Genomic DNA, 25,194 nt, shown 5'->3' with positions numbered 1-25,194 from the left:
AGTAAGGGTATAAAAGTGAGTAAAAATATAGCAACAAATTTCCCTTTCCTTTTGAAATGTGGACTGAAAAAAATATTTTCTGTCACGTGAAACTGAAAGTTGCAAGTTCATAGGCCTTACGAAGACAGACGCAGTTGGATATGTTCCTTTTTGATGTAGCATGTTTTTCATTGAAGTTGATTAGTTAAAAAATACAGTTACGGTGATTTGCAGAGAGGCTCACTCCGTGTTAATATTATTGTGGATAATAATGCTTTACATCTGTGAAAGGTTCTGGTAGTTCTCAAGGCATTCTCACACTTGTCTTCTTTAATCTTCTCAAATCCATGAGAAGCAAGTGCGGCAGCAAGAATTGCTCAGCCTTCCAGGTGAAAACAATTTAGAGGAGAGCCACTAAATGGATAACCCAAGGTCAATGCTGCAAGGCAAAGTCAAGGCAGAACACCCGGGACTCCTGGCTCCTAGTCTGAGGCCATGTCCACTCTTCTGCGATTACTAGATTTTGTTGGTTATTTCTTAAAACAAAAGAGGAAAAACAACGCCCCCCCCGCCCACACACAAATCAGTTGCCCGTATGTTTCTGGAGAGAATGCAGAGAGCGTTTGGTGGAGAGTTGCACAGGAACACGACCCACAGCCAGCCTGGGCCTTCTACAGACAGGAGGTGTGAGGTGTGGGGCCTGCTGCCTTGGAAAAGTGGTTCTCAGATCCTGAATTCAAATTAAACTCCCGAGGTAGAATCTCGGCCAACAACGGATCCCGGTGTCTGAGTTTGGTTCTCAGCTGGCGGCTGAGAAAAGAGAAGGGCAGCACCTTCCAATGATTCTGTTCCTGGAAGCGCACCAACTACAGCTTGGGAGAATTAGCCCTACAGTTTCTGCAGAAGTGCTGTTGCCAGGCTGTCTGAGACAGGATCCATTTGGTCCACGTCATCTCTCAGCTCAAAGCCACAGCTAAAAAGGCCAGAGGACAAGATTCGCGGGAAGCCTTCTTGAAGAAAATCGCTTCTGAAATGCTGGTCTTGCGATTTCCTGCCCCTGTTCTCTACTCCACCTTCCCGTGTTCCTCTCCGCAGTCTTCCATGCCCTGCTTTCCCTCCCAGGACATCAGGTCCAGGTTCAAAGATGACAAACACACCCACACACACTCACACACACAACACACTCATATACACAACACATACTCATACACATTCACAACACACTCCCATACACTCACACACACAACACACTCATATACACAATACATACTCATACACATTCACAGCACACTCCCATACACTCAACACACGTACACTCACACACAACACACTCATATACACACTAGCACACATATATACACTCACTACACACCTGCATGCACACATATACACACTTGCACATATACACTAACTACACATTCATACTTACGTACTCAACACACTCTCACGCAAACATGCACATTCTTTGCTATTTTGTAGCAGCAAGGGGGCTTAGCCAAGGGTAATGGCCAAGTGGCCCGAGGTATTTCATGGCTCAAAAGTGCAGTCAGTAGGCGAGAATGCCGTCGTCCCACTCGTTTAGAATGCGTCTGCTTTAAAGGGTACGTGCCTGGCACTCACGCTAAAAGGCTGACACACGGCGTCTCCTAAGCCTCCTCCCTCTACTGCCAGAAGCAGCTCCGGAGGGCACAAGACTCATGCAAGACTTGTCCCTCGTGGTTCTTCCACCTCCATCCTCCTAAAGGTCGCTCACACTTGCTTCTTTATCTTGAGTGCACATATGAAGGCGGTGCGCGCTCTGGGAAGGGAAGGAGGGAAGAATTCCTGTCCTATTCTATCAGGAATTGGGGAGAGAAAAGCTGCTAGGAGGAATAAATGAAGGGGACTTTTCAAACACTGTGAATTTGAGACAGAAGGGTTGTCAGGGGAGAGAAAGGCTTGAATTTTCATTCCCTTAATAAATATTTATTGGTGCAGACATGGTGCCAGAACACTGTGTACATTGATTGAACTGAAGCCCTAATGAGAAAGAAGAAAACAAACAAAATTACAGTTCATTTGTATGGATAAGCAAAGAAGGAGGAGGGCTCGCTGGTAGAGAATGCTGGGGGTTGCATGTGGGTTACAGGGGTGGACCTGGAGTCCTTATGAATGAGGTGAGTTAATGTGTGAAAAGCACTAAGACATGGACAGGCCAGCAGAGGCAGAGGCTGGGACACACACGAGCTGTGTGTGTTCACCCAGCAATGTAGGCAGGGTCGTGACCAGATCACAGAAGCCATAGGTCATGATCAAGGTCAGAGTTTCGGCTTTGTCCCAGTAAGATGGAAAAGCATGGAGGGGCACATAAGGGAGTGACAGGATGCTATTTATGTTTTAAAAAGATTCCTCTGGTTGTTGTCTGTGGGATATAATGGAGTAAAGCAAGAGTGGATATTGATAGATTAGGAAGTAAATGCTTTTATGATATTTTGATAAAAGGTTGATGGTGGCTTAGATGAGGGAGCTGAGAAACAGGGGAGTGGATGGGGTTCAGGGCAGATATGACAGGACTTGCTGTTGAACTGGATGTCAGTGAGCCACCTATACTCTACTAGGTCACTGATTCATTTCTGAGACTGAATTAATTTGTTTCTAGAGTTGATAATTTTTAAACATGTCACAATTTTTATTCTAATACTTCCAGTGATTTCAGGAAAGAGTCTGCTAGGTTTTGGTTTTCGATTGCCAGTTGATAGTACCATTTATTAAAATGGGAAGAATTTGATTTTGAACGGGTCAAGTTCCTTTAAGAAATTTAAAGGTGAGGCCAGTAGAAAGGTGGATATGTGAGCCTGGGGCTCAGAGGAGAGGTTGGGCTGGATGCATACTTTTGGGGGTCCTCAGTCTATAGATGATTGACAGACACAGGAATGGATGAGACCACAAGGGAGAGGACAGATGGAAAGAAATATCCAGCTCTTGGAACCTCAACATATGGAAGAGGAAAATGGTGGGCAAAGGAGACGGAGGAAGGAGTGTTTAACAAAGGAGAGATTCATCACATGACTTGAGCACCGCTGAGAGGTAGAAGAAATTGTCTTAGTCCATTCTGGCTGCTTATAATAAAATATCATAAGCTGGGTGGCTTACAAACAACTGAATTGAATTTCTCACAGTTTTGGAAGCTGGAACCCCCCAAATCAAGGTGCCCGCAGATTTGATGTCTGATGAGGACCAGCTCCCTGGTTCATAGACAGTGCCTTCTTGCTGTGTCCGCACATGGCAGGAGGGTGAGGGGTCTCTCCCATGTCTTTTCTTATAAGGGCACTGATTCCATTCATGAGGGCTCCACCCTCAGGATCTAGTCGCCTCCCCATAGGCCCTTAGAGGTTAGGACTCAACGTGAATTTTGGTGGGACACAAACATTCAGACCACAGCAACAATAAAGGCAAAAAGTGACCGTTGGTTTGGTAATATGGAGGACACTGGTGAGAGACTGCAGGGGAATGGGTTCAGGAGTGGACAGAAGAAGGAGGGAATGAAGAAATATCCACAGTACTGTAAAGAAGTTTAGTTTATGAGACCTAAAATGGAATGATACTTGACTCTCTTTATCAATTGACTTGTCTTATGCAGTTTTTGCATCTATTAGTTTCCGGTAACTGCTGTAAACAGCTATAAATTACTATAAACCCATTGGCTTAGAATAACACACATTTATCCCTTTATAGTCCTGGAGGCCAGAAGTTCCAAATCGGTTTCACTGGGCCAAAATCAAGGTGTTGGTAGGACTGCCCTCCCTCCAGAGGCTCTAGGGGAGAATCCATTTCTTGACTCTTCCATCTTCTGGTGGTTGCTGGCATTCCTCTGCTGTGGCCACATCAATCCAATCTGCCTCTGTGGTCACACTGCCTTGCTCCTCTTCTGTCAGTGCTAACTCTCCCTCTCTCTTATATGAGCGTCTCTTATAAGGACGCTTGCAACTGCATTCAATCCAGGAGGGTCTCCCCATCTCAAGATTCTTAATTTAATCCCATCTGTCAAGCCCCTGATTCCTTATAAGGTGACATTTATAGGTTCCAGGTACCTCCGAGAGCCATTATTCAGCCACGTATACTCTACTAGGTCACTAATTCATTTCTGAGACTGAATTAATTTGTTTGTAGAGTTGGTAATTTTTAAACATGTCACAGTTTTTATTCTAATACTTCCAGTGATTTAAAAACCTCTATTAAAATATTTAAGTGTAATATTCATTTTTCATAGAGAAATGGTGATTATGAGCTTCTAATTAATATTTGAGACAATAATAACCATAACTTTCAAAAAAAGTTCAACTAATAGTTAACAGCAGGGATGGGATTCTCTCGTTAACACGGCCACCAGTGAGTACCAGGGTCAGTCTTTATTAATTCTAAATAGATAGGATGTGTATGAGTCAAATAAGTGAGACACATAATGTGGTGGTATTATGTTGACTTTGCTGGCTCTAAATTTATTGCTATAGACATTATTTAATATGTATAACTAAATTATTTTAGCATTTAGGTAATTTAATAAAATAGTTTATATGTGAGCATCAATAAAGAGAGAACCATAAATTATACATGTGTGTAGTTTAAACAGAACCACTTAAATGCCTATTTTGGGGATTAAATATATTCAGAACTCTATCTGCGTCTAGTCCTTAATCTGGGCGAATTCTTACTCACCCTTTACAAGAGGCTTATTTGAGACTTCCTCCAGGCAGGCTTTCCTTGTCCAGTCTCGTCATTTCCTGTGCTTGAATCTTACTTTGCCCTTTTCTTGTGTCTGTCTATCCCCAAAACACTGTATCTTATTTATCTTGGAGCCCTCTGCACCTGGCATTTCTTTTACTCTGGGCAGAGCTGGTTCCTGGCTACTCTGTACAGAAGCCTGGAGACAAGCAGAATGGCTGACAACCTGCCGGAATTCTCTACTCTCCTTTGGGCAGGCCCTGCCCTCCACACCCCATCTCACAGGGAACACAACAAGAAAATCAAATTTGCTGGTAGCCATCCCTCCTAATTTAGTAGGTTTCAGTCATGCAGACTTTTCCTACAATAAAGGGATTTTTATACAAAAGCCTTTTGTGCACATACTTTTTAGAAACAAACACATTTCACTCACTGCCTTTCTTTAAAAAAAAAAAAAAGAGCTTGTTTCTGACAAATAATTCACAAATGTAAATGAAACCTACTAAAATTAAATGCACTCCTTTTCCCCAAGGATATCATTCCTAAAACAATTTCCAGACCTTTAAGGAAGTACTTTCAGACAGGGTGAAATCAGGGAAAAAAATCTTGTGCAATACATATTTATATGCTAAGTCCCTCCGGCATTTGGTCTTGTGACAATGGTCAGAACTGTCACAGCTTTTGCAGGCCTCTGAAAGGCAGGTTGAGACCTAAGTCACTCAGGTAGGGTCTTCCTTGGTGTTGCTGCATTTGACATCCTTCTTTGGGGGCTGTTACTAGGATCTTCCTGGAACACACTGCAGAAAGCGCTCTGCTAACATGTCTGAGTTAAGTCCCAGCTCCAAGATTTATTAGCTGCATGACATTGCGGAAAATCATTGAACTTCTCTGGTTTCTCAATTTCCTCATCCTTTAAATGGTGCCATAGAACTACATGGCTCAAAATATTTTTAGGCATCACAAACTCATTGATACATAGATTATTAATTCACACTGTAAATGAACATGTTAAAACTATTTCCGTTCTAAGATGGCTGAGATAGAGAGTTACTGGTGAAAAGAGTTGGAGTGATACAGATTTCCCAGATATTGATTAGAAATTGTCTTTGCCTCCTATTTCCACAAATATTTTTCTATTAATTTTTTTAAAAGCCTATTTTCCTTCATCTATTGAGCTTTAAAGCTATTTGCTTTAATTGTAACCAAAGTGACAAAGTGGAGAGAGGCCACCCTAGGTCAACGTGGCATCATCCATACCAACACTGTAACCATCCAACTCATCACTGAATAAAGATGTACTCACCACTGGATGAAGTGGTGTTCCTGGAAACATAAATTGCATCTGCTGGGCAAGCATTGCTGCTGCAGTTTTTTGCTGAATCAAATTGTTCCTTCCATTAATTTCTAGTTGAGTTTTTAAGTGTGTCGGAGGGTGAAGATACTTGCAGTTCTCTCTCGAACAACGGCCCTGTAAAAACAAGTGTTGGTTTTAGGACTATTTTAAGTAGCTTGCAACTCCAAAGTCAACCACTGAACAATCACTTCTTATGCACAAAAGCAAGGATCCTGTGTGTGTGTGTGTGTGTGTGTGTGTGGGTGTGCGCGCGCATGCTCATGTGTTTGTTGGGGAAAAGTGAATCAAACATTACATGATTATCAAGGTTGCTAATCTTAAGAACATGTTAAGTAGAGAAGCTTCCTGAGGATTTTTCCCTCCCTCCCTCCCTCTCTCTCTTTCTCTCTTTCTCTTTCTTTCCCTCCCTCCCTCCCTCCCTTCCTTCCTTCCTTCTTTCTTTCTTTTCTTTCTTTCTTTCCTTTCTTCCTTTCAGATTCTAAACCCTGACAAAAGATTCCAAAGAAGTGTGACTGCTGAGAGAAAGGAAAGGTCCTTCCCCTACACAGTATGGAAGGTAATCAGAAGGGCATATCTATTGTGGGCTATCAGAAGGAGTCTTTGAACTTGCTATACAGTTGTCTGTACATGCTAGAGTGATGTCCAAATATGAATAATTATGTAACAAATTTGTGGAGTAGAGAGTAATAAGAATTTTAAATGTGTGTTCCAGATTAGCTGAAGACATTCTTTCTTTCAGCTTATGGATGAAGAGGCAATAGTGTGCAGGGGTGGACATTTCTTGGTGATATACACATAGATGAAATTCTCAGGCTTGAGCTCAGATAATCATCTGCAAGTGATTACTTTGCTACACAAAAGCTGTCACTCTATATACCTGCCTTGCCCTCATGACAGGAGTTCCTCCCATGACAGGAGTATCAAATCTGATGTCATGATGTGACATAGTGAAGAGTGTTTATGGCTAAAGTAATATTTGGAAGCCAAAGCTGGTAAAACAAAGGAAAATAATAATTAGGTGACAGGGTACATAAAACCAGTCTGGAAGGGTAATTGCATATGGCGGTGTTTATACTTCATCCCCAAGTTTTCAAAACTACCAATTGAAAGAATTACATTGATGTGTGAATTATACAATTTCTGGAGAAAGAAGAGCAAACTGTGAACCAGTTTGAGTATCATACTTCCCTAAAGAATTAGTCCATTTGCAGCCAAGAAAAGAGAGTATTGATTTGTTTACCAGATATAAAAATAATTTTAAAAAGCAAGCTTGGGGGATCTGGGGAAATGAATTTGTTTATAGTCATCCTAATTCTAAACATCTGGAGTTCTCACTCTGCTTCCCACTAATTTCATCCGCACTTTTGGCAGCTCAGACTTCCTCTCTGGAGTTTGAATCTTCCCCCACCACCATGGAGAAGGGCAGACATGGGCCCTGTGTTCAGTCCCGGGCATCTGTGCTAATCAACAAATGCTGTCCTGAGGATCTACTGTTAGCAGCGTTAATAGTTGCGTCACCCTCTTTGGGGAGGATAACCAGGCAGGTGCCAAGGACACCAAAGGGAATAGGTCCTTGTTTGCTGTTAATAAGAGTCTATAACAATGGGTAATGCCAACATGTCTCCTTAGTCTCAAGTTCATATTGTTGATGTTTCATTCAGCTTCCTATGTATACATGGACATTCCAGGGAAAATATTGGAAAGTCTATTGTAAAGACAGAGGTGAAGTGGACACTAATCTAAATCAAAGTAGTATACGAATCTCTCTTTTCTCTCTTCATCTGCTTCTCTTGCAAACTGAATCTTTTTAAAATTTTTAATCCTAAATCTCTTTGCTTTATGACTTGCCAGGGTCCCTCCAGCCCTGTCAACTTGCTTCAGGCATCTCTTACTTTACTTCCTTTTCTTCCTTGACAATTGCTTGTCTCTTTGTTTGTTAAAATCAAATCTCCAAGAGAGCATTCAGATTGAGCCAGCTCCTACAAAGTTCATGTGTGCAAAGTCTTTGAATTGGCTGCCTTTATATCAGGTGGCCAAATACAATTCTATCATTTGTGATGTGAGGTATCCATGAGGATCAAAACATAGCCACAGCCCATCAGCTGGGGTGGAGGAGGGTTATACAGAATGCATTTCTTGTTTAGAGGATAAGCCACCCCAGGTTTCTCTAACCTCATTCCAAACTCTCTTTAGCCACAAACACTGCTCTTGGAAGCTGACACCCAGAAAGGCTCATGTATTCAAGGTGCACAGATGGGTCTAATGGAGAGACTTGGGAAAGCAGAATTCCAGAAAATGAGGATGGAATTAATGAAATGTCCACATTTCTACCAGTATGGCTGTTATATTGTATTCACTCATATACTTGTCAATTTGATCACTAGTTTTTTAATGTAATGCTTTGTGGCTGCACACACACATTTCAATTTGGCTGGAAAAATACAATTTTCTTATAAATGCTCTTATCTCTTGATAAAACTGGGACTCATAGGGAACCATATAAGCTATTTCAGCTAATAGAAAGTATTTTACAACATTGAATTAGTAGTTTATCAATGAAACCTTCTTTTTTGTGAGAATTGCTGTAATTTCCTAGTGTCCTTACTTACATACTTGGAGTAAAGAATGTTATTGATCACCTACATGCCAAGCAATTTATATATGGTCATCTCATTTTCTCCTTATAACAGCAGTAATGATCCCTATTTTTACAAAATAGCAGATGGGCTCAGAAGATAAAGAAACTTTCCCAAGGCCATATATAACTGGTAAGTGGTAGAACTAGATTTTAAATCCAGACCTACCTGACCCAATTACATCACGCTGCCAAGCTATTCATTAGCAATAGTTAAAATCCAGGGAGGATAAAAATCTATGATGATCTTTCGTATAATAATGGGATGCATAACAAAATTTTAAATATAATAAGATATGTATATATAGGGATTTGGGAATGGGAAACAATTATTTGCATGGACCTATCCGTTGGTAGGAGGATGGAGGAGTAATCAAGCTCACAGATTCTGGTCTCATAACTTGGCTCGACCTTTTCTTAGCTGCATGACTTTGAGCAATTACTTGACTTTTTTCTTCATCCGTTCAATGAAATAATTATTGTATCTTCTTCTCAGGACTGTTGTGTGATTAAATGAGTTAACACATGCATAAGGCTTAGAAAAATGCCTAGCACATAGTAAGCACTGAGTAAATGTTATTATCAAAAGAAAGATAAATGTTTCTATATGATATTTCATTTTCAGTAAGTACAGAATCATACATTTAGTAGTATTTTGACTGGCTCTTTGATTCTTCCACAGAATAAACTTTCACACCAAACATGTTAAAAGCTACTTAATTGTACTTATTCAAATATTTTATGTTTAAAATTATTTTCAACTCTACAGGGTATTTGTGTAAGTGTCCACATTTTAAGAGACAACCCTGAACCCTAGTACAATCTAGTATTAATATTTTGAAGAATTATGCACCACGGATGTCTGAGGCACACTAATTCAAACCCTCGGAGACTCTACGTAACAGAATTTTAGTAATGGATCCTATAGGATTGTAAAATCCTAATGGATAAGCTATTGTCAAAATAAAACAAGCTATTTGACACAGTGAACAATTTGTAAGGAAGTTTTTGTTAAGGCATAAGATTTGCCAGGATATGCATCAGTGTACAAAAGCTGTTGGTTATCAAAGCAACTTGTCATAGCCAAATGGTACAGGGCAGTGTGCAGAAGCGTAAAGCGTCTTTGTGTATCATTGTGAAACAAAACAGAGGTGTCAAAAATAGTGTCTTCTGATTTTATTCCAAGAAATAAAGACAAAAATGTCTGGGAAAAATCTTCCTTGTGGCAGCTAGGATTTGTTTTTTGCTTTGTTTTGTTTTAACTCTTCCTCCCTTTTAGTTCTTGGTAACACACTATTTCTGGAGAGATAAGGGAGGGAGGGTCCAGTGCCTAGTGGCAGGGACTGGTGCAGCTTCTGTGGGGTGGAGACGGAGATGGGGATGGAGAGCGCCATTGCAGAGTGCTTGTGAAGAGCCTCCCAGGAACTGGGAGCTAGGAGCCTCAGCTAGGGCCAGTAAGGTGGGCTCACACCAGGGACCAGCTCATGGGTCACATAAGCCCTCAGGGCCTTTGCTCATCCCACGTGGGACATGCCAGGTATGGAACCAGCAGGTGGTCATATACTTCCAGGCTACGATCTCATTCATTCTTTCATTCAACAAATATTTCTTGAGATTCTACTATGTGCCAGGCATTGTGCTTAGTGCTAGTTAAACAAAGGTGAGGAAAATCAAGACATGGTGTCTCCCTTCATGAAGCCTGCAGTCTTGTGGGGAAGACAGATGTTAACAAAACATGTCTTGTTACAAGTTGTGATACATATTCTAGAGAAGAATGCTGAGAAGGAATGGTGGGAGAGGGTCAGAATTGAGACCAGGGGTCAGAGGAGATCTCTGGAGAAGTGACATTTAAACTGAGACCTGAAAAATGAGTAGGAACTTGGCAAGGGAGTGTGTGGTGGTCAAAGTGTGTGTGTGTGTGTGTGTGTTGCATGTGTATGCATGTATGTTGTATGTATTATATGTATTGTGTGTTTCCTGTTGTGTGTGTGCTGTGTGTGTAGTATGTATGGTGTATGTGTTGTATGTTGTGTATGTTGTATGTGTGCTGCATGTGTGTGTATTGTGTGTGTTGTGTATGTTGTATGTGTGCTGCATGTGTGTGTATTGTGTGTGTGTTGTGTGTCTAGTGTGTGTGTGTGTTGTGGGTGTTGAATGTTCTTTAGAGGAGCAGCGTGTGCCAGGAGAATGTCCCATCTAGGGGCAGGCACGCAGCTCTCTAAGGCCAGTGCAGAGAAGGGGTGTGGGGAGGAGCATGAGGAGTGAGAAGAGGTGAAGCAGGAAGAAGCCACACAATGGGAGACGAGCCAAGGGGTATGAAGTTCCTGCTGTTGAAAGTTTTTAAGCAGGAGAATAACAAGATCAGATTTATGCTTTATGCTACATTTAAATCGCACCCTGATTATTATATTTCATATTTCTAATTTTATTATAGTTTATATTGTTTGGAGACCACCTCTTTAAAAACAATAACAGAATTCTGATGGAGTCGACATTGGATTTGTGCAGTTTCTACTTCCAAGAATAATCTGTACTCCAGGAATATTTAGATTAGGGATGATGGCTAGAATCAAGTTCGAACCTCAAGCTGAATTAATTTTATTAAAATCAGCAACCATGAAAGATTCTAATACAGAATACTCATGTTGATTCTCGACAGGAGGAAGGAAGATGCTAAATAACTGTAATATGTACTTGACAGAACAACAGATTGGTGCTATTGGAATTACATAGCCATTAAATTACATGGCATGGGATAGAATAAATGCAACTTTGGCTAAGAAAAGACTTCAGAATCAGGCTGCTGTGAGAAAGAAAAAGCATAATTGAAGGATGAGATTTCCTAATGGCTTATTTTAAAACAAGTAATTTTTGGAATCTTTTTCTAGTATGCTCCTAATTGAAAAAAAATCAATTAAAATATGGGCACAAAAAAGAAAACATAGAAGACTATTAAAGACTCTCCCATTAACAATAGTTTTTGCCCATAGGAATAGCTGTCAGACAACTGCATCCCATTAGTTTTTCATGGGAAAAGCAATGGATTTCTACGATCTACAATTCAGTTAACAGGCCCCCGCCATTTGTATTCCGCTGGAATAATTTGAACTGTGTCTTTACATGGGCTGAGTCATTGACCGGCAGACTCCAGCAACACTTTTCTTGGGGAAAACGATTCTAGCGAAGGGCTGGAATCCCAACCTGATTTTCTGAATTTTGCCTCTTTCAGTGCCACCTTGGCAGCACTTGCTGCTGTAGGTGCATGATGATATTTTCAAGCAAGCAGGCCAGGCCGCGGAACGGCAAGTGCTGGCCCTAAGGTTTAAGGGCAGATGGCATGTGCTTTAGACGCAGCCTTCAGGGACACTTTGAGTCCTGGAGCCTGCTTTAGACCCCAAAGCTGGCCAGGGAAAATCATGGAAGAGCCTCTGAAATTCCTCGCATTCCACATGGCTGAGGCCAGCTTGGTGAAATCCCGAGGTCAAGACAAAGGCTCTTGCTCTGGAGTTACATTTCAGAAGCCTGTTTTGTCTTGCAACCTCTCCTGGAGAAGCAGTGTAAAAAAAAAAAAAAAAAAAAAAGGGTTAAGGAAACCGTCTCAGAACTGGACTAATTGGATTTAAAATGCAGCGCTGCTGTTCTTGGGCACCTTGGGCAAGTGGGACCTTGTGGCTTCCAGCTGCCATATCTGTGAAATGGGGCTAAGAATAGTTTCTGCCTCACGGACTTTCAATAAGGATTAAGAGTTAATGCATATAAAGTGTTTTAACAGTTCCTGGCACATAGTAGGCATTCCCTAAGCTTCATCATCATCATAATCATCATCATCATCACTATTACTATTGACACTTTCTTTTCATAGTAGGTAAAAATATATGGTATTGAAAACAACTTCTCTAATACCTGCTCCATTTCCTTATCACTGTGCTCCTCTCTGGCCTGTCTACCAATCTCTTTAAACCTTTGCTATTCTCATTCTGTCAGTGCCAACTTTGGTCATTTATCTCTTCAAACAGCCTCAGATCTGTTTTTCTTTGATATCTCCCCTGCTGAAACTTGCCAGGGCTAATCAACATGGCATGACTTATCTAGAGTGTAAAGCAGCTATGTATTGTGGTTGGAAAATCCCAAAATTCTGGCTGTGGCTTCATTCCAAAATGGTTATATGAACTTTTTTTTTTTTTTTTTTTTTTTACAAATAACGTATAATAGTCTGTGCCTGTGCCTCAATTTTCTCATCTGTCAAATAGGGGTGATCCTGTTCCTATATCTCAACTCCTTCTGACAGTTGTTAGAGCAGGAGTTGCTCAGGAAGAAACGTAAATTGTTATCTATATTTTTTCCAGATCTATTTTCTCCTTGAATGCTCCTAATCTAGTAAAAGGGGAAAGCCACATGAAACAACAGTTACAGTAAAAAGTGACACCAGGGATGTATGTTGGCAATGGTCCAGGTATGTTCTGAGAATTATGAGACGTCTACGTGATGAGGTTTGAGGAGATTCAGCAGAAGTGGTGAATTAAGTCAAAATCAATTAAGTCTAGGAGGATTTATTAAGTACCCACAGTGTACACAGCTTGGAAGTGAAAATTTCGATCAAACAGACCTCTGTTTTCGTCCTTGTGCCACGTAAGTTGTTCAGCAGTTATTTACTAAGTGACTAAGCTGACTGGGTGTATCAGATGTTCCCAGCCTCAGTTTCCCCATAGTTTCAAAAGCTCTCAAGGTCTTTGAAAGTGGGGAAGCAATAAAGGCTGTGGTTAGAGTGGGTGAGCCGATTCTTATTAGTCCATTTATACAGGTCTCAGTCACATAGGCCAAGGCTGAGTCTAACATTTGGCCTGAACCTCCTCTTCTTCCTCCCAGTACATTTCCAGAAGGATATGGGCAAGTAAAAGTGTAGGGGAATAAAATGGTTATTTACATCAAGGCTTAATTTATGACATTAACTATGAGACTGAAATAGCTCTACTCTAAGGCAAGTGACAGATTAGGCTTTTGGGCTTCTTTTGAATTTAAATAAGCTAATTGAACCACATGAGCTCCTTGTATTATTAGTTCCAACTACCTAATATAGCAAATAAAATGCAATCACATAACGGCTTCAGAATTAGAAAGTAACTTTAGATTCAGGGGATCATTATAAACAAATGATAACCAGAATGTCTATCAACATGAATAATTACCAGTATCATCAAGATTATGCATAAGCCTCTAATAAGCTCTTTCTGTTTATTATTTGGTTCAACATATATTACAATTTATCCTTAACAGTCTAGATATGCAAATAATTTTTGGTGAATACCACAACATTTTGTACTTATTAATGACAGATAAAAATGGTGTATTTACATTTCTTCTCTGGTGTGTTCTTTTTCTCTGTTGCTTCCATTATATGGAAGAAATGCCTAGAATGATATAAGGAATATTTGGCAGTGTAGCCTGGTGGATAAATGAGGGAAAAACACAAATAGTGGTAGACAGTCACTACTACCTCCAATTTTACCCACCACCACCAATTGCTACGGGTTTAGGAGAGGATAAAGAAAAGTGGGAATGAAGTTACATAGGTAAGTGGACCAAATCAGTTTGCATTTTCTTTCCAAAAACCCATACAAATAGGTGTAGAGCATCATTCCACTGCATCACCTGGACTATGGGGCAGAGCTCTTCTCTAATGATAGTGCTTTTACCTTTCTTCAAGGGAGTTGCAAATCTGAGTGTTCTCATCTCTGGATTTGCATTTAGGATAGCTTGCTATCACCTGAGGGCTGGGAAAAACCTTCAGGCCACCACAGGTGCTTTGGGAGTAGATTTGTGACTCATTCCTTATTAGGCCAATGCAACTGCCCTCTTCTTTCAAGCACCACTGGCACTGGCCCCTGACATTAATTTTGTGACTATTTTAAATAAACAAAGCATAACAACTAGTAAATGAGGAAGAAAGGCAAAGTAGGTGAATTGTTTGTAGTTTGCCATTTCATAGCATGTTTAAGCCTTTTAAAAATTTTTTATTTTTATTTTTGAAACAGGGTCTCACTCTGTCACCCAGGCTGGAGTGCAGTGGCACAATCATAGCTCACTGCAGTCTCGACCTCCTGGGCTCAAGCAATTCTCCTACGTCAGCCTCCCAAGTAGCTGGGACTACAGGTGCTTACCACCATGCCAGTCTAATTTTTTTATTTTTGTAGAGTCTGGTTCGCACTGTGTTGCCCAGGCTGGTCTCAAACTCCTTGGTTCAAGCAATCCTCCCACTTTGCCCTCCCAAAGTGCGGGGATTACAGGCGTGAGCCACTGCACCCAGTCTTTAAAAAAATTTTAAATGCATTTTGGTTGGCTGGGCAGTTCCAATTTCTCATACTACTTGTGTCTTGTGATGGGGAGAGCTGTTTGTTGGCTTGATGAAGGGAGAAACCCCTCTTACCGATAAGGATTGTTAATTCTCTTAATTTTATTCATTAACTGAAAATGTGCCAGTTAAGAGAAATCAGTGAGACTAAAAATAGCCCATCAGTTCTTTAGAGATTCAGGGAAACAAATTTCCAGGCACCAGATGCTTCATTTGGAAATTATTTTATTTAATGAGAATATCAATGTCTTCTGAGTCACGGGGGTAGTTTGGTTAGTGTGGACCATAATCATATATCAACCTTACATGAAACCAGTTGTGATGTTAATATTGAGTGTCAACTTGATTGGATTGAAGGATGCAAAGTATTGTTCCTAGGTGTGTCTGAGAGAGTGTTGCCAAACATTAACATTTGAGTCAGTGGACTGGGAGAGGCAGACCCACCCTCAATCTGGGTGGGCACCATCTAATCGGCTGCCAGCAAGGCTAGAAAAAAGCAGGCAGAAGGATGTGGAATGAACAACCTGCTGAGTCTTCTGGCCTTCATGTTTCTCCCATGCAGGATGCTTCCTTCCCTCGAACATCGGACTCCAAGTTCTTTGGTTTTTGGACTCTTAGACTTACACCAGTGGTTTGCCAGGGGCTCTCGGACCTTTGGCCACAGACTGAAGGCTGCACTGTTGGTTTCCCTACTTTTGAGGTTTTGGGACTTGGACTGGCTTCCTAGCTCCTCAGCTGGTAGACAGCTTAGTGCAGGACTTCACCTTGTGATCGTGTGAGTCGATTCTCCCAATAAACTCCCCTTCATATATACATCTATCCTATTAGTTCTGTTTTTTAGAGAACACTGACAAATATACCAATCTAGTGGCTGTTTGACTTCATAGAGTCTAGATTTTTTGATACCACATTCATTAATGTCTGCAGCCCCATGGGTGAATAGAAATCCCATGAAACATTTTTATCTGAGCCTTGGAATTTCTCCTGCTAGGGAGGGCAGGCCTTTTCTGTCTACTTCCCGAACTTCTCCTCAAACCCCAACCGTACAGGAAACCTCATACGACGGGTGCATGTTATCCAGTGATCTTCCTTCCTTCCTTCAACAAATATGTATTGAACCCCTTCCATGTGCCAAGCCCTGTGATATTAAAATGACAATTAAAATAGAGTGATCAATGCCATGATAGGCGGTGTGAATGCATTGCAGGGAGCTCTCCTTAGTTTAGAGGTCAGGGATGACTCCAGAGGATGGGACATTTAACATTTAAGCTAAGATATTTATCAGATTATCTAGTTGAGAGTGGGGAGGAAGGTGGGAGTTAGAGTTGGCCATTTGGAGCGAGGAGGTGGGGATGGTTAATGGGTACAAGAAAAACAGAAAGAATGAATAAGACCTACTATTTGACAGCATAATAGGGTGACTATAGTCAACAATAACTTAATGGTATATTTTTAAATAACTTAAAGAATATAATTGGATTGTTTGTAACTCAAAGGATAAATGCTTGAGAGAAGGGGTACCCCATTCTCCATGATGTGCTTATTTCACATTGCATGTCTGTATCAACACATCTCATGCACCCCATAAGTATATACACCTACTATGTACCCACAAAATTTTTTTTTTAATTAGAGCTAGCCATTTAGAGAATTAAAAGAAGCCAGAGTAATTGACAACCACTCTATGGGGGTTTACTTCCTGAAGCCTTATAAACACCATCACATGACATCTGTATCCCACAGTTTCCATGGGGAACTGGTTCCAGGACCTCCCACAGATACCAAAATTCAGGATGCTCAAGTCCCTGATATACAACGGCCTAGTATTTGCATATAACCTATACACATCTTCCTATATACTTTAAATCATCTCTAGATTACTTATAACACCTAATACAAAGTGAATGCTAATGTAAATAGCTGTTATACTTTACTGTTTAGGGAATAATGCCAAGACAAAAGTCTGACCATGTTCAGTACAGACGCAATTTTTAACTAGTATTTTCAATCCATAGTTGGTTGAATCCACGAATACTGAGGGCCAACTGAATGTTTAGTAAATGTTGGGTTCTATTTTTATTATCATCAGTCCTTAGCAATTCCAGAAGCTAGTCAATTTTTGAAATAAGTGAAATCTGTCCAAAGATACAAAACCTTATTATGCATCTTCTGTTACAGCCTTTTTCAAACTGATTGCAATACTATATGGTGAATCACCTACCCCCACAGAAGGCTGCCTGGAATTTGGACACATGTATTAAAGGCCGACATTTTGTGGGTGTGTTCCTGCACAGCTGTGCCATTTTACTTAAACACTGGAAATGACTTCCATCTCAGGTAGAAAACAGACACTGTCCCAAGCCTGTTTAGTGTCAAGTGTTTTCCCTGCTTCTCTGGCCACTCCAGTGCCTCCTCCAGAGTCCCAGCATCTTCCCCTCCTGGACCCCAGCAATCAAAGAGTTAAGCCCACACAGCAGGGGGTTTCTGAGACTAGCTGTGGTGCACACTGATTGGCTGCTGCCCATCTGGGAGGTTACTTATGGTAAAATATTTTGAATATCACATCTTATTATAAATATACTATGACAAGGCCAGAGTGCCTTGGTTGCTGGTGTCGGAGTTGGGAATGCTTCCGGGAAGAAGTGGGAGAAGGGTTGTGTGCCTATGGAGACAGGAATAGGGAAGGGGTGGGCTGGAGGGGAAGGAAGACTAGGTTAAGAAACACTGGAAGAAGATGGGAAAAATAGAGCATCCTATTAAGAGTTCCTTCGTTTTCAGCAACACAGGAAAAGAACATTCCTCTTAGGCGGTTTTGGATTTCAGATGCTTCTTGCCTTACCATAGACTCAAGTTCTGATAAACCCATGGTTAATGGAAAATAGTATATGTTGAAAATGCATTTTCAACTTATGACATATTCAATTTACAATGGGTTTTTCTGATGTAACCCCATCATGAGTCCAGGAGTGTGCTGAATGCATATTGCTTTTGAACTGTTCTAAAGTCAAAAATCGTAAATTGAACCATTATAAGCCAGGGACTTTCTGTACTTGATGTCTCAGGAAAGACCTGCATTGCAGTCCTGGACTGCAGCAGGGGGAAGCTGCACTTTTTTCAGAAAAAACAGCCTGGGAAGATGGAGGGCATGGCAGCTTGCACCATGGCGTGGGCATTTATGCACCGGCTGGGGAAGGCTATGCAGAGCAGAGGTACAGGGAAGAGGTGTGGGCTTTATCCTGCACCTCCTGAGGGTGGAAGCGGTGTGCCTCCTCCTTTACTCATCTGACAGTTTTGGAGCATCTGCTCTATGCCAGAAACTGGGAAGGAATTGCACACAGGACTGTAAGCTGTGGCCCTGCCCTCGATAAAAATAGCAGAGACTTATATAACGTTGTACATATCATCTACCAGGCAGTTTCTAAGTGCTTCTTAGAGATCATACCCATTTAGTCTTCACTACAAGCTCTTAGCAGAGGTAATGTTAATAATCCCATTTTATGGGATGAAACAGAGGCACAGAGAGGGGGAGATAACTTTCCATGGGCATACAGCTAGTAAGTAAGTGGCAGATCTGTGCAGTCAGTCAAGCTGGCTGGCCTGGGACTCTGTGCCGTCAGCACTACCCAGAGCTGCTTTTAAGAAACTCACGATGGAACTTCTATATCACACCTTAAAAAGCATTCTTCACACCCTGTCTTATTAGACCTTCACAATATTCTTGTTTTCTGTTACCCCAATTTAAAGGTAAGGAAATGAGGCTCAGAGAGATTTAAGGTAATTTCCAGGTCATGTTGTTAAAGTCAACCAGGGCTAAATACTGCTCTTCCCTCACCAAAACACGTGCCTTCTCCATCGCCTGCTGTGGTCCATGGGAGACACTATGGGGTTACAGATTTTTGGCTCAATATGTGAGATTTGTTTAAAACAGAATGAGTGACTTTGCATGATAATGCACTCGATGGAGGTGACAGTGGATAGTAGAAAACAGACACTGTCCCAAGCCTGTTAAATGTCAAGTGTTTTCCCTGCTTCTCTGGCCACTCCAGTGCCTCTTCCACAGTCCCAGCATCTTCCCCTCCTGGACCCCAGCAATCAAAGAGTTAAACCCACACAGCAGGGGGTTTCCGGGACTAGCTGTGGTGCACTCTGATTGGCTGCTGCCCATCTGGGAGGTACTTATGGTAAAATATTTTGAATATCACATCTTATTATAAATATACTGTGACAAGGCCAGAGTGCCCTGGTTGACCATGTTGAATTGTGTCTCCCTGCATGTGGAAGTCCTAACCCACAGAATCTCAGCATGGGATCCTAGTTGGAAGTAGGGTCTTGACAGATGTAATCAAGTTACAGGGAGGACATTAGGGTGGACTCTAATCCAGTATGACTGGTGTCCTTATAAAAAGAGAAAATTTAGTCACAGAGATCCATGCATAGAGGGAAGACGATGTGAAAGAGACACAGGGAAAATATGGCTATCTTTTTGTTTTTAAGACAGAGTCTTATCCTGTCGCCCAGGCTGGAGTGCAGTGGTGCGATCTCGGCTCACTGCAACCTCCGCCTCCCGGGTTCAAGCGATTCTCCTGCCTCAGTCTCCCAAGTAACTGGGATTACAGGCACCCACCACCATGCCCGGCTAATTTTTTGTATTTTTAATAGAGATGGGGTTTTACCATGTTGGCCAGGCTGGTCTCGAACTCTTAATCTCAGGTGATCCACCCACCTCGGCCTCCCAAAGTGCTGGGATTATAGGCATGAGCCACCCTGCGTGGCCGAAGATGGCCATCTTTAAGCCAAGGAATGGCTGAGGCTATCAGAGCTGTGAGAGAGGTCTAAAATAGACCCTTCCAGGCTGGGAGCAGTGGCTCACGCCTGTAATTCCAGCACTTTGGGAGCCTGAGGTGGGTGGATCATGAGGTCCGGAGATCAAGACCATCCTGGCTAACATGGTGAAACCCCGGCTCTACTAAAAATACAAAAAATTAGCCGGGCATGGTGACACACACCTGTAGTCCCAGCTACTCGGGAGGCTGAGGCAGAATCTCTTGAACCCGGGAGGCGGAGGTTGCAGTGAGCCGAGATCGCACCATTGCACTGCAGCCTGGGTGACAGAGTGAGAGACTGTCTCAAAAAAAAAAAAAAAAGACCCTTCCAGAGAATCTTCTGAGGGAGCATAGCCTTTGACCCTTGGATTTTGGACCTCTGGCCTCCACAACTGTAAGAATATAAATTTCTGTTGCTCTAAGCCATCCAGTTTATGATACTGGTTATAGCAGCCTTGGGAAGCGAGCACAGCCACCTCTAACAAATGTTAGATAATGTATTTTGTCTTGAGATTGGCGGTTACACCAGCAAAATACTACAGTCTCCTCCAACACTAAGAGTTGTTTCTGTGAATGTGTATTCAATTTTTTTCATGATCTTAGGTAATGAGATCTCCCTATTTGCTCAAAAATAAACTATAACAACCCCCAAATCCCTAACAAGTACGATGATTTTCTACCAGTGAAACTAGTCAGCTTAAATGCCATCCGATTTTTCCCACGGAAGATTTAATAGAAGAGATTTATTTTAGTAAAAGACAAAATGTTTCACTAAAGAACTCATTAGTAATGCATAAAGGGCTACTGGGTCTCTGAAGATCCATTTTCAAAGAGAAATGTTGGGATAATTTTTGTATTCTGATTACAGAGAATGACTTGATAAAAATCATCCTTGATATTAAAATTGCATGGAGGGGAAAGAAAATCATTCAGTCTAGCAGGATGGAAGTCAAAGAAAATGGGTGAATGTGGCCAGCAATTAATTTGGAGTTGCTTTTACAAGCTAGATAGATGTGCATTGGCAGAGTCTCACCCGTGACACGGGTGGGGTCATCTTCGCTGGCACTTTGACATACAGAGGGACAGTGGTAGGGAGGAGGACAGGGGAGAGGCCTGCTCTATTCAGCTGGAGTCTTCTATCACCCTCACGACCACCCTGCCTATTCATTCCTTCTCATCAGGCCCAGCCTTTAGTGCCCTTGGTCATTGCCAGAGCTCCCGCCTGGCCAGCACTCCCCCAGTGAGACCCAAGTCCCCAGAATCAATCCTCAAGTGACACTGAATCTTTGCACCAGCTGATGCTGACTCATGGCCCTAGCTTTGACTAGACAGCTGCTCTGTTTCAAGCCCTAACACCCGCCGGGTGTCCCACGTCTTATGCTACAGGGTCCCGCAGGCTTCTCTTTTTGCCTCCAAGTTCAAGGTCTGAGAACCTGCCTCCCTCCAGGCTCCTTACCAGAGTGAAGCTCTGCCTTTTGCCTTTGCCTCCAGAAAACCCTGCCTGTAGGCTGGGGTCCTGTGTCCCCTGCTGTGCAGCTGTTGCTCACTCACCCTTTCTGAGGGTCCCCATCCAGGGTTTTTCTTCACTGTGGTCCACCCTCAGTAGATACCTGCTAATTTTTCTCAGAATTCCTGCTGCTGCATGTTTCTCCAGTACGTACCTAGAGAGGGCGGAGACCTTGAGACAACACACCCAGGCTCACAGCATTGAAATCTCCATCTCTGTGTCCCAGTGGGCAGAACTAACTTCAGACCCTGGGGTCTCTTCTGGTCAAATTCAGCCCAACTTAGTGAGCTATGACATTACTTCCTCTTTCTCTTAGGACCTGCCTGTAAACTGTGGAAGAAGTCTTTTCCCTCAGCAAACCCCAGCTGTTCTTCATCTGTCACTGCTGGCTGGATACTTAAGCTCTGGGTAGTCCAGAAACTGCTAGTCAAATGTATTTACAAACTGAATTGATGCATTATTATGAAGTCCAATTTTTTATTTTTTAAAAAGGAATTACATAGATGGTAATAATACTTGGTAACAGCTTTTGAATGCAGTCAAATACCATTGTTATTATTTTTACTCATTAGATGCATGCTAGACACCGTGCTGTTTCACATGCAAAATCTCAGACAAACATTTGAGAGGGGGAGGTGCTCTTAATATCCCTATTTGACAGACAGAGAACTGAGGCCTGAGGAGATGAATGATCTTGTCCTAGGGTGTGCAAGTAGCAAGATACAGAACCAGGATTTGAACCCAGGCAGTGTGACTCCAAAGCCACTGCTCTTAATCACTATACTTCTTCCACACATTCATATGGTTATAAAAACTAATTATGTTTGCCGAATTCTCACAATGTGCCAAGCATGCCTCTAAGTGCTTTACAGGAATGATCTCCTTAGTGTTCACAATATGCCTTTCAGGTAGGTCTTATTTTTATGCCCATTTTGCAGATGTGGAAACCAAGGCACAGAGAGGTTAGATAACTTGTCTAAAGTGACACAGCTAGTAAGAGGAAGATCCAGACTTGAACCTACTCAGCCTGGCTCCAGAACCACCACACTCTCTGAATACAAATTATTGATTCCTACTTTATGTCTGGTACTGTGCTAGGCCCAAGGGGCTACAAAGATGAAAAGCAAACTGTTCTTATCTTTGAGAAACTCTACATACATAAATCTGCAATGCATATACACATGAATGGAAGGGAAGAAAGCATGGTAATAAGTAATATTTAAGTATAATATTAGCCAGAAGGATCTATGTAATGTTTCATAAATCATACAGTTTTCAAAATCCCATTAAAGTGATCGAGTATATTTTATAAATATGGTTGGCTTTTAATACTTCAAACTAATAATTGAAGTGAATAACCAAAGTAGGCCACTGCCATCATATCTCCGTCTATTAGGGCAAGACAAGGCACCACTAACAGCCTCTGGGACTGCCCTGTTACAGGGAGATCACAAGCTTTCAGAATCTGCAAATGAGGCACCTGGATTTCAGACAGCCAAAAGGATTATGCATACATAAAACTATCATTTAAGAGTTCTGCATGCATACTTTAGGCACATATCAATGCTTTGCTTATGGCAAAAGACTAAAGCCCCAGATGAGGGAATTTTCCCTAGGAACAGTAGGGTGGGAGAACTGTCCACCTCCTTCAGATGACCCCAATATGAAACACGTGCCTGTCCTGAGCATGTCATACTTTGACACTCTGTGGGGTCCACTGGGAGGGTACGCAGTTCTGAGCTATTTTTACAGGATTGATATTTTGTTCATTTTATCCACCCAGTTTTACCTGGTTGCCTCTGTGATCCACAGACAGTTCAGCAGCGAAAAGCATATGATCCCCGGCCCTGGAACAGAGTGACACTTATAGGACCACACGGGACTGAAGCCCAATTGATGCATCATCCATCACAAAGCTTGGCATCTCCCACATTGAGTTACCCAGCCCTAGATACATACCCACCCTGTCTCCTGCATCCCCTGCCACCTTCCGTTCCCACTGGCATTGTCAGGCTGGTCCAGGCCATCAGATGTGTGACAGTGCTGCCAACAGATGCCTTCTCTACTTCCTATACCCTCTGCTGCACTATCCCCTTCATTCACTCCACAGGCATATGTTGCAAGTCTACCTTGGGCCAGGCAGTGTTCCAGGGACATGGGATATCAACAACAAAACTCACAAATGGCCCTGTCCACACAGAACTTAGCTTCTAGTTAGGGGAGACAGACAATAAGCAATAAAGATGATACACAAGTTACACAGCAGAACGTGCTGAGGGCTTTGGGGAAGAACAAGTGGGTAAGTAGGATGGGGAGTGCTGGTGGGTTGGGTGGCCCTTTTTAGTTACATAGGCAGGGCCATTACCACTAAGAAAGTAATTCAGCAGCAAAGACTTTGTGGAGGTGGGGAGTTGTCCTGCCTGTATCCAGATGAAGCATATCCCAGGCAGAGAGAACAGCCAGCACTAAGGGCTCGGGAGGACGCATGCCTGGTGCATCTGAGGGTCAGCCAAGAGGCTGGAGAATCTGGACTCCATGAGCCAGGGCCAAGCTGGAAAGGAGTTCTGAGAAACAACCATGGTTTGACCAGGTAGGGTCTTGCAGGCCATTGTAAGAACTTGTTTTCTTCTTTGAAGGAAATGGGAATTTTGAGGGGAGGAGTGATGTGATCTCACTGGTGTTTTAGAAGGATGGCTCTGGCTACTGTGTGAGAATGGACCGAAGGGGCCAGAGGTGGCATCAGGAGACCAGTTAGGCTGTGGTGGTCACCCAGGGGAAGAAGACGGTGGCTCAGACCAGGCTGCTGGCAGTGGAGGAAGGTGGAGCCAATAGGATTTCCTGACACACTGAATGTGAAGTGGAAAAGGGACCAGTCAGGATGATTCTAAGGTTTTGGGCCTGAGCCCCTGGAAGGGGATTTTTGTCATCAGTCGAGGTGCAGAAAGCACGGCTCAAGCAAATGTGGGGGAAATAGCAGGAGTGGTGTTTGAGATGCCTATAAGACATTGAAAGAGAGGTGCCAAGCAGGCTGTTGGGTCCAGGAATCTAGAGTCCAGGAGAGAGGTGTGGTCTGGAAGTCATTGGCGTATGAAAGAAATTGAGAACAAACCCTTGGTTATGGCCATGAGTGTATCTCTCTCCTCCACTGAACCCTCAGAGAACCCCCATTCTTTCCTGAATCGCATCCAACTGCCTCACCCACGAGCAAGGCCTTCCACATCCTCACCCACGAGTAAGGCCTTCCACATCCTCACCCACGAGCAAGGCCTTCCACATCCTCACCCATGAGCAAGGCCTTCCACATTGCCAGAGAGTGAGCTTCCTTTCCAGTCCAAGCCCTGCTTTCTTTTCATGCTGAGGTCAGTTGGAGTTGGGAAAATCCAAAGACTTATGCCTTCCTTCCTCGTCTATGAGTTTGCTCAAGCTGTTTCCATTCCTCTATTTTGGTCCCCTGACCTTCCCTCACATGAATGACTCTCTGACCACTTCCAAGCTTCCTTGAGAAAGCATCTTTCCCCTTCTCTGCATGTCTGTAACAATCTGCACCTCTGGGGCAGCACTTAACCCCTAATGCCTGCTATTAACCATTATCAATATCAGTATTGATGTCAGATCCCATCTTGGGCCTATCTTGTAAGTTTCTCATGAGCAGAAGCTCTTTCCTGCCATTGGGAATAGCCAGTAATGTAGAGCCCGGTGCCTGGAAGAGAGCAAGTGCTCAGTGCTTGCTTAACAAATGAATTTTTGGAAGACACAGATTTCAAAAGCCAAGACTCTTGTAAACCTTGTGGGATGAGATCTGGAGTGAACAAATATACCTTGATAATTATTTTAACTGCTTTAGAA

The 25,194-nt window shown here is 42.4% G+C and overlaps 1 protein-coding gene across 55 annotated transcripts in view; it reads right to left on the bottom strand.

Annotated features, from left to right (window-relative positions):
• Positions 1 to 25,194, bottom strand: part of MBNL2 (muscleblind like splicing regulator 2) — a 252,287-nt gene that overhangs the window by 53,697 nt on the left and 173,396 nt on the right. For 49 of the 55 annotated variants that reach the window (NM_001382649.1, NM_001382675.1, NM_001382656.1 and 46 more), the window contains one exon: positions 5,984 to 6,148. The exons of 2 other annotated variants lie outside the window; for them this stretch is intronic. In NM_001382649.1, the coding sequence (NP_001369578.1) occupies positions 5,984 to 6,148 (165 nt within the window). Of the gene's footprint in view, positions 1 to 5,983; positions 6,149 to 23,137; positions 23,196 to 25,194 lie in introns of all 55 variants that reach the window. 4 more of the 55 variants (NM_001382690.1, NM_001382689.1, NM_001382692.1 and 1 more) reach the window with 1 other exon arrangement.

This window comes from Homo sapiens, chromosome 13 (assembly GCF_000001405.40).
Source record: "Homo sapiens chromosome 13, GRCh38.p14 Primary Assembly".
Classification (NCBI taxonomy): domain Eukaryota; kingdom Metazoa; phylum Chordata; class Mammalia; order Primates; family Hominidae; genus Homo; species Homo sapiens.
This window is presented reverse-complemented; position numbering and strand designations above follow the sequence as displayed.